General features: G+C 43.4%; 1 protein-coding gene, 1 long non-coding RNA gene and 1 pseudogene across 17 annotated transcripts in view, besides 1 other annotated feature; all 3 read right to left on the reverse strand.

Moving 5' to 3' along the window:
- Positions 1-13540, reverse strand: part of APTX (aprataxin) — a 52505-nt gene that overhangs the window by 38589 nt on the left and 376 nt on the right. The gene's annotated exons all lie outside the window — the stretch shown is intronic.
- LOC124902139 (uncharacterized) lies at positions 4530-7047 on the reverse strand. The gene is made up of 2 exons (XR_007061453.1): positions 5346-7047; positions 4530-5021 (listed from the first exon to the last, which is right to left on the reverse strand). It is a non-coding gene; the product is annotated as an uncharacterized LOC124902139 (long non-coding RNA).
- LAGE3P1 (L antigen family member 3 pseudogene 1) lies at positions 8301-8949 on the reverse strand (annotated as a pseudogene).
- Positions 12909-13504: an enhancer, noted in NCBI's record as "H3K27ac hESC enhancer chr9:33024111-33024706 (GRCh37/hg19 assembly coordinates)". NCBI's record gives its function as "activates a minimal SCP1, AML or CMV promoter by ChIP-STARR-seq in naive H9 embryonic stem cells {active_cell/tissue: H9 hESC(naive)}" and the evidence as "EXISTENCE:reporter gene assay evidence [ECO:0000049][PMID:30033119]".

Here is a 13540-nt window from a genome sequence, read left to right on the forward strand (position 1 = left end):
CAGACCTGAAAGAAGAAAAAAGTCATGTGGATATCTGGGTGAAATGAGAAACCATTAAAGGATTTTAATCAGTGGAGCACCATATTTTTTTTTTTTGTTTTGAGATGGAGTCTTGCTCTGTCACCCAGGCTAGAGTGCAGTGGCACGATCTTGGCTCACTGCAACCTCCGCCTCCCAGGTTCAAGGAATTCTCCTGCCTCAGCCTCCCGAGTAGCTGGGATTACAGGCGCCTGCCACCACGCCCGGCTAATTTTTTATTTTTAGTAGAGACGGGGTTTCACCATCTTGGCCAGGCTGGTCTCGAACTCCTGACCTTGTGATCCACCCGCCTCGGCCTCCCAAAGTGCTGGGATTACAGGCATGAGCCACCGCGCCCGCCCGAAGTGCCATATTTTTTAAAAGGTTACTCTAATTATTTTATGGCACCAGAATCTTAAAGAGAGGGAATGGTTTCCAATTCTGCGTTTCTTTAAATGTATCCATTCATCAAACACTTAAGAGTGCCTTCTCTGTGTCACGCAGTGGGGTCCATGTTGAGTCAACAAGCCAGACACAGCCCTTCCCCTTAAGGAGCTTTCAGTCTACTGAGGACAGCTGCAGGACACGCTCACCTTTCACAGCCTCAGTGCTGAGCCCACTCTCCTGAACCTGCAGTCTCCTTACTGCTAGTCTTTCCAATATTGCATTGCTGCTCTTTCTCCCACTTGTCTTTCTTACTGCACTTCAGACTGGACGTCCAGTGGCATTTTCCTGAGCATGGTTTGGTCCCTCTTGACAACAAATTTGAATGTCTACACATTTACACCATTCAGACAACCCCGAGACACTCCTACTTTGTCATTCTTTTCACAAGCAAAGCTCCAGCTGTCTATGTGAAAATAATACTATTTCAACAACTGTCTTCACCATACGTTTAACCACAGTAAAACTTCTGCTTTCATAGAATAATATTGCTCCTAAATTATGAGGCCTGTAACAAAAATTTTAACCACCCTCCAAAGGGCTTTGATTCACAAGAGACCTTACTTTTCACCTGTATGACTTCTTGGATATTTTAGAGAGAGAGGATATAGCATACATGATTAAAGAAAAAAAAAGAACGCAAAATTTTTTAGAAAATGTATACTTAGCCTTTCTCTCTGTGGTAGCCAATTACTTTAGTAGACCTAATTGATTCTCCCCTTTCAGAATTCCTACCCTTCCATAGTCCCCTTCCACATTGACTGGACTTGGCTGAGTGACTGGCTTTTGCCAATGGGACACTACCAAGTACAATACAAGCAGAACCTTAATAACTGCTTACACATTGTGGCCTATCCTCTGGGGGTGCTCCTGTTCAAAGGATCCAGCTGCCATGCTGTAAGAAGCCCAACTTAGCCACATGAAGGAGAGGTCCCAGCAGAGCTCCCAGCCAGTAACAGCCAGTATATGAGTGACCCAGCTTGGAAGTGGGTCCTCCAGCCCTAGGGAAGCCACCCTAGCAGTTGCTACACAGAACAGAGATGCACTATCCCTGCTAAGCCCTGCCCCAACTGCGGAATTCTGATTAAATAAATGATTGCTACCTTAAGTCACCAATTTTGAGGGCAGCTTGCTAAACAGCATTAGATAACCAGAACACTCCCTTTTAGAAAAAGGGTGGGGGCACTATTCCTACCACGTTCTGGAAGTCATAAGATTGTCTGAAATCTGGGTCAAGGCTCAACTTCCTAATAGAAGAGTTGCCTTATATACTTGTGTAAATGTTAATGTCTGTGCCCCACTCATTCGTAAGCTCCATGAGAAAAGGGATTGTGTCTGTCACAGTCAACATTGTTTTACTGACCTAGAAAACACCCTGACATATAGTAGGTACTCAATCAATATTTTAGTAAATCAATGTAATGTTGATTTACTAGCTCTACTATTTCCTCTGTTTGAATAGGATAATTTCTATGACCATTACTATTAGCAAACATTTACTAGTGTTTATTTATATGTGGATACTCTTCTGCACACCTTGTACATGTTAACTCATTTACTCTTCACAATAACTCTATGAGCTAGATACTATTATTATCCACTTTTACAGACAAGGAAATTGAGGCACAGAAAAAATAAGTAACTTGTTTGTGGCGGGGCCAGGATTCAGTTTCCAGAATTTGTATTGTTAGCCACTACAATGCCTTTCCCAGTTTCCTGTCCTAGATCTGACAGTGCCATTGCTGTTGAAAAAAAGAAAAAGGTAAAGTTACACAGCAGATGAACAGTTATCTTCATCACAACTTCTTCACGATGAAGACAACATCATGACTAGGCAGGTAGGAAGCTGCTCATGGAGAGCCAGGCGTGGTGGCTCATGCCTGTAATCCCAGCACTTTGGGAGGCCAAGGCGGGCAGATCACAAGGTCAGGAGATCGAGACCATCCTGGCTAACACGGTGAAACCCCATCTCTACTAAAAATACAAAAAAATTAGCCGGGCATGGTGGCAGGTGCCTGTAGTCACAGCTACTCAGGAGGCTGAGACAGAATGGTGTGAACCCGGGAGGCGGAGCTTGCAGTGAGCCGAGATTGCGCCACTGCACTCCAGCCTGGGCGACGGTGCAAGACTCCGTCTAAAAAACAAAACAAAAACAAGACCAAGCTCCTGCTCTAAAATGCCTTTTCAATGTCAATGATAACAGGGAGATGAAAGAAATGACAGGTGGGGGCAACCACCAGGAAGAAAGACTTTTACATCAGGCCTCACCCCTAGGGCTGTAAATCTGGCAGCTAAAAGTAACTGAACTCCAACCTATGCACTCAACCCAACTGCAATATCCCAACAGGAGTGTAAAGAGACCCTAGTCAGTAGCTGCTAATTCAGTGCAGAGTCCCTTTTAATGCTGATACCACTGTGGCTTGTGCCTAGGTCTTCCCAATGCTCAGCACAGAAACTGATGGCAAAGGCCTACTCTGGCACCATTACCAGCCCTGCCTCTGCTCTGAGGGACAACCTGGATGTAGGAGTCTAAGCCAATAGCACTCATAAGGTTACCTGAGGACTGACCTCTCAGTCTGGTAAGTACAGGACTTTCTTGATGAACCACCACTACCACCACCAGCAAGTGTGTATGAACAAACACCCCTGGCCTCACTCCCATATTTGGAGATGTGGGAAATTTAACACAAAAATATCTAAAGGGCAGTTTATTAGAAATCATGGTAGGTGGTAGAAAATGGCAGTTTAACCCAACAGTAGAATAAATATTCCATAGCTGTACCACTTAACAGCTTAACAAAAGGATGCATAGCTGGGGAGCAGCAGGACATCCTTAACAAAAGGATGCATAGCTGGGGAGCAGCAGGACATCCTTAACAAAAGGATGCATAGCTGGGGAGCAGGACATCAGGTTTTGGTAATCAGGGGAGCCGCCCTAAAGGGGGCCCTTAAACTGGGTCTTGTCCGTTAGACATTCACTCAACAAACACTTCTTGACACTTGCTATATGCCAATTACTATACTAGGTGCTGGAGATAAAACATTGCTAAGCCATGATCACCAAGACAGTCCTCCACCCTAGAAGTATTGCTGTAGCTCAGCAAATTGCCCTTTGTTGTGCTGCCATCAGAGGCATCCCTCTACACTGGTCACCCGGTCAGGGATACTGTCAAGGACACTGCTCCTCACATAACACAATGTGCTCTTTATAAGCATCCCTGGGAGACATTCCAATCTGATCTCCATTCTAGGAATAGTTTTACTTCTCCAGAGTACTGGATTGATGTTTTATCTTCAGATACCATGAATTGTGGGACCAATGAGGTTGTCAGTTTAGAGACAAATTCATGGCCCAGCTGTATCAAATGTGAAGGTCATTCTTGTATGCCTTTTAGCTTTGTCTCTGGTTCCATTTTGTTACTACCCGTGTTTTTATTTTTTTCATTCTCCACACTTTTAATGTATGGCATCTTGGGGTATATTGTCTCTGTTTGTTGTATCCTTGGAAGTGGCTGTAAACCCTTCTGGATGAAAGCATTGCCTTCAATGTTTATAATACATTATACACATCTGCACAAATGCTATGATGGAAGTGTGTACACTGCGTGATGTGGGAACACAAATAATAACGCCTTATAAATTATCAAAGGCATTAGAGAAGATCTTGCATAAGGGTCATTGCCTGAGTTGTATTTTTTCTTTTCTTTTTTTGAGACGGAGCCTCACTCTATTGCCCAGGCTGGAGTGCAATGGCGCGATCTCAGCTCACTGAACCTCCACCTCCCGGGTTCAAGTGATTCTCCTGCCTCAGCCTCCCGAGTAGCTGGGATTACAGCCGCACACCATCATGCCCTGCTAATTTTTGTATTTTTAGTAGAGACAGGGTTTCACCATGTTGGCCAGGCTGGCCTTGAACTCCTGATCTCATGATCTGCCTGCCTCAGTCTCCCAAAGTGCTGGGATTACAGGTGTGAGCCACCACGCCCGGCCTGTATTTTCTTTTGTTCTGTGTTTTGCTGAGAATGCCACAATACACCAATCTTAAAACAAGGTTGCTGCCACATGCATGCAAGAAAACTTTTTTTTAATCTTACAGAGTAGATCTTGATGTCATATCATGGGCTTATAGGACACACTGAAGTTGTTTATAACTAATCAAAGCTATTTCCATGAGAGTTTCCCTTCATCAATTTTTTTCTGACAACAAGATTATGGGGCAAAACAATTCATATCCGCATCTGAATTTTTGTGCAGGGAAGGAAATTCAGATGAAATATCAAACTTAAGTTAGAATACATTTGACAAGGTGAGGTGAAGAATTAAAATAATTATCTAGAAGATGTATATACACAAAATGTTATCAACTGAATTTTTTTAAATAAACGTTGCCAAATGGTATCTAGGAGTTCGTATTATCTAGACCAAGAGTCTGAGATTTTGAAGGGCTATTAAAAGTCATTTTGTTCAGTCTCATATCTGTGCAGCAGTATTCTTCCCGAATTCTTTCCACTTTTCAGGTATATTCCCAACCTTGGAGTTTCCCGTGATGGTGTGATTGCCTGTGTGAGAACAGGGTGAGAGAAAGTATTGTTGCTGACACAACATCTGAAGTGTGGTGAACCAGCAGATACTCTCTCAATACACTCAATTTTAGCTTTTTTTCTTAAGCGTTTTAGCCATGTAAAAATTCATTTCAACAAACAGCACACAGAAGATCTCAAGAAATAGGTCAGGATCTCATAAATGAGCAATCCAGTTTACAAAAAAGACAGCAATAAACATGTTTACTGCATATCCTTTCACTCTTCGGTAGTATAAAACATTACAACCATCTTCCTTTAGGTTTAAAAAAATAAAGGAAAGAAAAAGTAAACTGAATGTACCTCACGACTTCTTTCGGCTTTCTACCAGGCTGGAGCTTTAAAGACAACACTATTTTGTCTCTGTATTGAGGAAAATTGTGGACTTTTAACTTAGAGTGACTAAATAGAATGCATTACACTCCCCCCCCCATTTTTTTAGAATTAAAAAAAGCAGAAAAACAAAACTATCTGAAAAGTACTCACTGCTAAGAGGAAAGTCTACTCTGAGCTCAGCAATTAGGCACTCTGATGTTAGAGGAGGGCAGCCCAGGCAGGCAGAAAAATCACCAGACTGTGTAGTGCTGGGCTGGACGTTCTAAGAGGCCAGGAACCATCTCCGCTTTTTCACAACTATATGCCCAGTACCTGGCACAAATTCTGGCAAAATGCATATTCATTCATAATTTATTGAGTACCAACTCTGTACCAGGCAGTGTTCTAGATGCTTGCGATATATTATAAAACAAAACAGACAAAAATCTTTGCCTACAAATAAAACTGTTCCTCTATTCATAATACTTTGAACCAAATGTTGGGGGTGGAGGGGCTTCAAACCAAACAATTCTCTAATTCTCTGCAGATACCAACTGGGTATCCTACAATTTAATTCAGTGTGGACACTAATTATCCAACATTATTGCACATCCCACAGGTTAAGGGCTCAGTCTCACAAGACTACCTCCAATTTAAGATACCAATAGCAAGTCCAGGGTCTCCTGTACTTCTGATAGACTGGCTATGAATCGGGGTGTCTTCATCTATTTGAGCTGCTATAACATGCCATTAACTGGGTAGCTTACAAACACCAGAAACTTATTTCTCATTTGTGTAAGCTGGAAAGTCCAGGATCAAGGTACCAGCTGAATGGGTGTCTGGTGAGGGCCTGTTTCCTGGTTTGTAGACAGAGCTGTCCTCACATGGCAGAAGGGACTCACAAGCTCTCCTGGGTTTCTTTTGTAAGGGCACTAATCCCATGACGTAGTCACTTCCCAAAGGCCCCATCTCTGAATACCATCAACTTGGGGATTTCCAATTTATGAATTCTGATAGGACACAAACATTCAGACCACAGCACAGAGGTTCTCACAACCGCCTTAGAGTCAATAATTTGCTAGAACAGCTCACAGAACTTAGAAATAATTCTTACATTTCTCAGTTTGGGGAAGGGATACGGACCTTCAAGGCCCTCTCCGGGAGCTCAATCCTTCCAACACCAACCTGGAAGCTCTCCAAACTCCTTTGGTTAGGGTTTTTTTATTGAGGCTTCATTAGGTAAGCATGATTGATTAGGCCATTGCCCACTGGTAATATCCAGCCCCTTTCTCCTCCCTGGAGGTCATAGTGTGAGGCTGAAAGTTCCAATCCTCTAATCACTTGGTTAGTTGCCCTAGCAACCAGCGCCCCCCCCCCCCTCCCATTTTCGGGCTCTCCAAAAGTCACTTCATTAATATAATCTCAGATGTGATTGAAAGGGGCTTGTTATGAATAACAAGATACCACTTTCACTCTTATCACTTAGGAAATTTCAACGGTTTTAGGACCTCTGGCCAGGAGTCAGAAATGAAAACCAAAATTTTATTTTTTATTTAATTTTTTTTTTTTTGAGACGACTCACTCTGTCACCCAGGCTGGAGCGCGGTGGCACGATCTCAGCTTACTGCAACCTCTGCCTGCTGGGTTCAAGTGATTCTCCTGCCTCAGCCTCCCGAGTAGCTGGGACTACAGGCACGTGCCACTACACCTTGGATAATGTTTGTATTTTTAGTAGAGATGAGGTTTCACCATCTCTACTACGATGGAAGGCCGAGGTGGGCGGATCACCTGAGGTCAGGATTTTGAGACCAGCCTGGCCAACATGGTGAAACCCCGTCTCTACTAAAAATACAAAAATTAGCCAGACGTGGTGGCAGGTACCTGTAATCCCAGCTACTCGGGAGGCTGAGGCAAGAGAATCGCTTGAACCCAGGAGGCGGAGGTTGCAGTGAGCCGAGATTGTGCCATTGCACTCCAGCCTGGGGGACAAGAGCAAGACTTCGTCTCAGAAAAAAAAAAAAAAAAAAGACTGTACTTCCCCAGGTACTGTGGCTTATGCAGTAATCCCAGCACTTTGGCAGGCCGAGGCAGGTGGATCACGAGGTCAGGAGTTCAAGACCAGCCTGGCCAACATAGTGAAACCCCATCTCTACTAAAAATACAAAAAATTAGCCAGGCGTGGTGGCAGGCACCTGTAATCCCAGCTACTGGGGAGGCTGAGGCAGGAGAATTGCTGGAACCTGGGAGGCGGAGGTTGCAGTGACCCAACATCACGCCATTGCGCTCCAGCCCAGGCAACAGTGCGAGACTCCATCTCAAAAAGAAAGATATGTACTCCTCAAAACTGTCAAGGTCCTTAAAAATAAGTAAAGTCTGAGAAACTGTCACAGTCAAGATGAGACTAAAGAGATATGATAACTCAAAGTAATGTGGTGTCCTTGGTGGGATCCTGGAACAGAAAAGGGAAAAATTAAAGAAACCCAAATAAAGAACGAACTTTAGTTAATAATAATGTATCAACGTTGATTCATTAGTTGTGGGAACTGTACCATTTTAATGTAAATTTTAACAATAGGTTAAGACTGAGTGCGGAATAACAGGAACTCTACTATCCTGACAACTTTTCCGCAAATCTAAAACTATTCTTAAATATAAAGTTCAGTTTAAAAAAATGAAGGGTGGTGAGTGGGGGTAGGAATGAAGGAGAGAGTTCATAAAAAAGACTGAAATTGTACGTAGTCAGAAGAGAAGAACCACAACAAATTGGTGCTACTCAAAAAATAAATAAATAAATAAAAGTCTGGCCCCAGTTAATTAAAAACTAAATATTCTAAGAAATTTAAATTAATTTATACAAACATAAAAAATAGCATTTCAGTTAGGATTTACTTTCCACTTTGTGCCGATAAAAATTTTTCTTTTTTCTTTTTAATAGTAGCTCAGTTTTATTTTCTGTGGTAACAAACATTTAAGAACCAGAGAAAACAAGGGACCCCTGAGCACACAAAGGCAGTACAGGCCGACCATGAGGCCCTCCCGGGAAAGTAGCAACTGTGGGAATTCCCTGCCCTAGGGAGGATGGATGCACTGCCTAGGAGGAGACGCAAGGTTAGACCTCGCCCCATTTTCCCAGGCCAGGCTTAGCGGGAAACTGGGGGCCCAAAGTGCTGCAGGGTCCGCACCACCAGAGAAAGATGGTCGAGAAAGTTGATAAGGGAAATTCGGAGCAGGCAACAGTCTTCAGCTTTCCAGCGGACGGCCAGGATCCTGCCGCTCACTGTGAGATCCTTCCCAACCACCCTTTGGTGGGGTTCGGCATCTGGAGCCAGGGACCCATGGGCAATTTCCACCTCTAAGGGGGTCGGGAAAGGCACGCTGAGGGTGAATATGTGCGGCCGCATTCCTGGCCCTTGGCCACAGACGCTGCGTTTCTGCTAGGACCTGACACGTGCGGTGGGGGAGCTCCGCTGGCCGGAGCTGCCGGGGTGTCCGCGCCCCCGGGGCAGCTGTGATCACCCTAGCCATCCCCGCAGTTGGCGCCTCCGCCTGCGTCTGCATCCACGTCCCACATAACCGCCCTGGCTCCGACTCCTTTTCTTTGTAAACTAAAGAAAAAAGTATAGCTGTAGTTGTACTCATTCAAACCTGGACTCACCTTTTCCTTCACCCAATTTTGCTCCTACCCTGGCTTCTTCCTCCTTCTGGGCTCCCTACCCCAGGAAGGGGATCTCCAACCATCCTGTTGCTAAAGCCAGAAAGCTGGAAGTCATTCCTCCTCCCTACCTCTGCATCAAGTCATCATGACTCTACCTGAAGACTTTACATGTTTTTATATTTGTGTTTATTTTTCTCCCTCTCCATTTCTTCTATTTAGGCCTCATCATTTCTGATCTCATCGCTCACCATAAAAACCTGCTAAGAATCCAACCTTCGCATTAGCACCCAAGTGATTATTGTGAAATTTAAATGTAATCAAATCAGCTCTAAAACAAGGGTTACTGTGAGGATAACAATATGGCAACGTTTGTAGAGTGTTTAGCGCAGTGCCTGGCAGGTCCTCACAAAAGAAAGAACAGATGAGGAAAGAGAAAAGAAACAAAAAGTCAGCTGTCACAGGTTATATCACCCCATCCCTAAAATCCTCCAGTGTCTCTCAAGAGCCTTCAAAACAAAATTCAAACTTTTTAGCATAATGCCCAAGCCCTTATTACTTTGCTCCTGCCAGGCCTCCAGCCATCTCCAGCTACCTCTATGAACACTTACGGCCATGTGGTTATTGAGTTATTGGCCAGGCGTGGTGGCTCACGCCTGTAATCCCAGCACTTTGGGAGGCCGAGGCGGGCAGATCACCTGAGGTTGGGAGTTCAAGACAGCCTGGCCAACATGGAGAAACCCTGTCTCTACTAAAAAATACAAAATTAGCCAGGCGTGGTGGAACATGCCTGTAATCCCAGCTACTTGGGAAGCTGAGGCAGGAGAATCGCTTGAACCTGGGAGGCGGAGGCTGCAGTGAGCCGAGATGGCTCCATTGCACTCCAGCCTGGGCAAAAAGAGAGAAACTCTGTCTCAAAAAAAAAAAAAAAGAAAGTATGAAATATCCCACTGAAATAAAATATAATGGTAAGAAAAGAGGCCATCCATGACAGCAACAACAAAAAATGCCTAGTAACACATTTAAGAAGAAATGATGAAGACCTAGTTTAAAAAATGAAGAAAATAAATATACAGTTATATGTTCATGAGTAGGAAGATTCGACATTTTAAATGTGTTAATTCTCTCCAAACTGATATATAAAATCACTGTAATCACAATAAAACTCACAATGGGATTTGGGGGGAATCTGCCAGAAATATTCCTAAGTTCCTCTGGAAGAATAAACATATTAAAAAAAATACAAGGAATATTCTAAAAAGCAAGAACAATGAAGGGAAGTAGTACCATGTATTTCAGTGGAAATTAAGTATACATTAAAAGTGGTGGCCAGGTGTGGTGGCTCACGCCTATAATACCAGCACTTTGGGACACCAAGGCAGGACAACTGCTTGAGCCCAGGAGTTCAAGAACAGCCTGGGCAACATAGGAAGACCCTATCTCTGCACATACAAAAAAAAGGTTGGGGGGCGGATTTCACATTAGTCAGGAAAAATAAGATTAGTGTTAGACAAACTAGTTTGCCATTTGGAGAAAAATAAAGATCAGTTACTTACAAATAATCCTCAGTCCTTACACCAAAATAACTTTCAGATGGAATAAAAAATTTAAGTTTAAAATGGAACAATGATTCCAGATGCAGTGGCAGGTGTCTGTAGTCCCAAGTACTGAAGAGGCTGAGGCAGGAGAATCACTTGAGCCTAGGAGTTCGAGGCCAGCCTGGGCAACACATCAAGGCTGTTAATTTAAAAAAAAAAAAAAAAAAGGGAAACAATGAAAGTACTAGACCTAACCTGTAAACCTGGGACAACAGATTTATATTTATAATGCTGGACTGATGAAGGGGAAGGTGGAGAGAAGAAAAAGGCCAAAAAGGAAGAGTCACAATTTATCTACATAAAAATTAAAATCTTTATATGGCCGAAAAATATATATATAGATACTAAGTAAAAAGCGAAGAATATACTAAAGAAAACAATTGTAACACATGACAGACTAATATCTACCCCTAAAAGGGCTATTATTAAAATAGTGGAATTACACCACAGAAAAATGGTAAAATAATATGAACAGTTGACAGGAGAGTCAGTAAACATTTAAAACATGGTTAAACTTACTAACAAAGAAACTCGAAACAATAAGATATCACTTTTTATCTCCAAGCTTAGCAAAGATTTAACAACAAAAGGCCCTCATATTGGCAAGGCCCACTCACACACTGCTGGAAGCAGTTACAAACCAGTATGGAAACTTATTTATTACAATTTTAAATCTACATTCATGTTGACTCAGCAATTTCAATTCTAGCTGTCCATCCAACAGAAATACTTGCATGAGTACTCAAAGCTGTATTTGCTAATTTCTCTGCAGCAGTTTGTAAAACACTGGAAATTGCTGAAATATTCATCAGTAGGGGAATAAATTACGGTGCCTACATACTACGCCATTAAAAATAACAAGGCAGATTAGTTATTTATCCTGGCATAGTAAGATGACAAAGTGAAAAGGGCAAGCTGTAAACAGCTTGTATAATGATCCCATTTCTGTACAAACGAAGACCACATACAAAGTTATTGCCAGTTTTTTTATTTTATTTTACGTAAGAATGCTTCTTAAAAGTGTTAACTTTTTTGTTAGTTTCGTTTTTAGACAGGGTATTGCTCTGTCGTCCAGGCTGAGGTTCAGTGGTGCAATCACCACTCACTGCAGCCTTGACCTCCCAGGTCCATCCTCCTGCCTCAGCCTCCCAAGTAGCTGGGAGTACAGGCCCACACCACCACACTAACTCTAATTTTTGTAGAAACGAGGTCTTATTATGTTGCTCAGGCTGGTCTCAAACTCCGGGACTCAAGGGATCCGCCTGCCTTGGCCTCCCAAAGTGCTGGGATTACAGGCTTGAGCCACCATGCACCCCCTACTCTTCCTTTATTAGCATTTAACACTCAACTGTTTGTTTCTGGTTCCCTATGTTGTGAGCTCCTTGAAGGCAGGGACCACGACTTATGTGATTTTTTTTTTTTTCTGAGACTCGACAGAGTCTTGCTCTGTCAACCAGGCTGGAGTATAGCGGCACCATCTCTGCTCACTGCAACCTCCGCCTCCCAGGTTCAAGCGATTCTCCTGCCACAGCCTCCTGAGAAGGTGGGACTACAGGCACGTGCCACCATACCTGGCTAATTGTTTCTATTTTTAGTAGAGAAGGGTTTCACCAAGTTGGCCAGGCTGGTCTAGAACTCCGGATCTCAGGTGATCCGCCACCTTGGCCTCCCAAAGTGCTGGGATTACAGGTGTGAGGCACGGCGCCCGGCCTGACTTACGTGATTTTTGTATTACAAAGCCCTAGTACACTGCCTGGTAATATTAGACGTTTATTAACGGTTGGTTTAAACAAAAAACTTTATACCAGAGGTGATACTTGAGAAGGCAACACCTAAGATTGAAAAAAATCAGGTGTCTGTCAGCCAATGCAAAAGCATACAAAGGTGAAAAGGCGTATATGGGAAACTGCGGATAGTTCTGTGACTGGAATGCACAGTTAAAATTAATGAAAGAGAAAAGGCTGAAGAGGCAGCATGAGGATGCTTCCAAGGATAAAGTTCAAAATTCTTAGCGTAGCATATATACCAACAGACAAAGGCATGCCCTAACTAGCTTTGAAGCCTCACCTCCGGCTATTCTAGCTCCCTTAGCTATGGCTATATCCAATTAGTTGCAATTTCCTAAAAACATCATATTCTTCCACACCTTAGTATAGCCTTCCCCTGTGCTTTGTCCACTGCTCTCCTCCCATTTTCAAAACTCAGCTCAATTGCCACTTTCCCAAAGAAATTCTCTCTGATCTATCAGGTTAATATAGGAGGCTCTCCCCTACTGACTTCTACCTCATGGTTTCTCTGGCAGTCTGTTGACTTGTTTGGCTTCTCACTAAAGTCTAACTGGGGCTTTTCAACTCTGCATCTCCAGTTCTGTTTTTGTTTTAAATCGAGACGGGGTTTCACCATGTTGCTTGGGCTGGTATCAAACTTCTGAGCTCACGCAATCAGCCCACGCTGGCGTCCCAAAGTGCTGGGATTACACACGTGAGCCACCGAGCGTGGCAAACTCCATCTTTCTTGGTGCTAGATACTGACATACCTGCTGTGTCCCTGGATAAAGAAGCGGACCCCAATTCCCATTAAGCCCCCGTGGTACCATTTTCAAGTCCGAGGTCTTACGTTGCAGATTGTACATCCAGGTTCCCTGACCCGTAGGATTTAAAAGTGAGGTCAAATAATTAAACAAATTGTTTTAGTCAGACACTCTTGCGGCTACTCTGTAGCCAAACTGGGTGAAAACCTGACCAGAGGAGTCCACGGCCCTCTGTACATCAAAGACGGTCCAAACGTCTCACTGTTTAGCTCAGTCCCAGACACACTGAGCTCAATCTGCACGAATCAGCGAGGTCCAGGGCAGATAACATGTGTCTAGGGGCCTGGACTTGCACAAAAAGCCTTAACAACTTCACAATTTGATTAATTATGCCGCCTTGGAC

This window comes from Homo sapiens, chromosome 9, assembly GCF_000001405.40.
Source record: "Homo sapiens chromosome 9, GRCh38.p14 Primary Assembly".
NCBI lineage: Eukaryota > Metazoa > Chordata > Mammalia > Primates > Hominidae > Homo > Homo sapiens.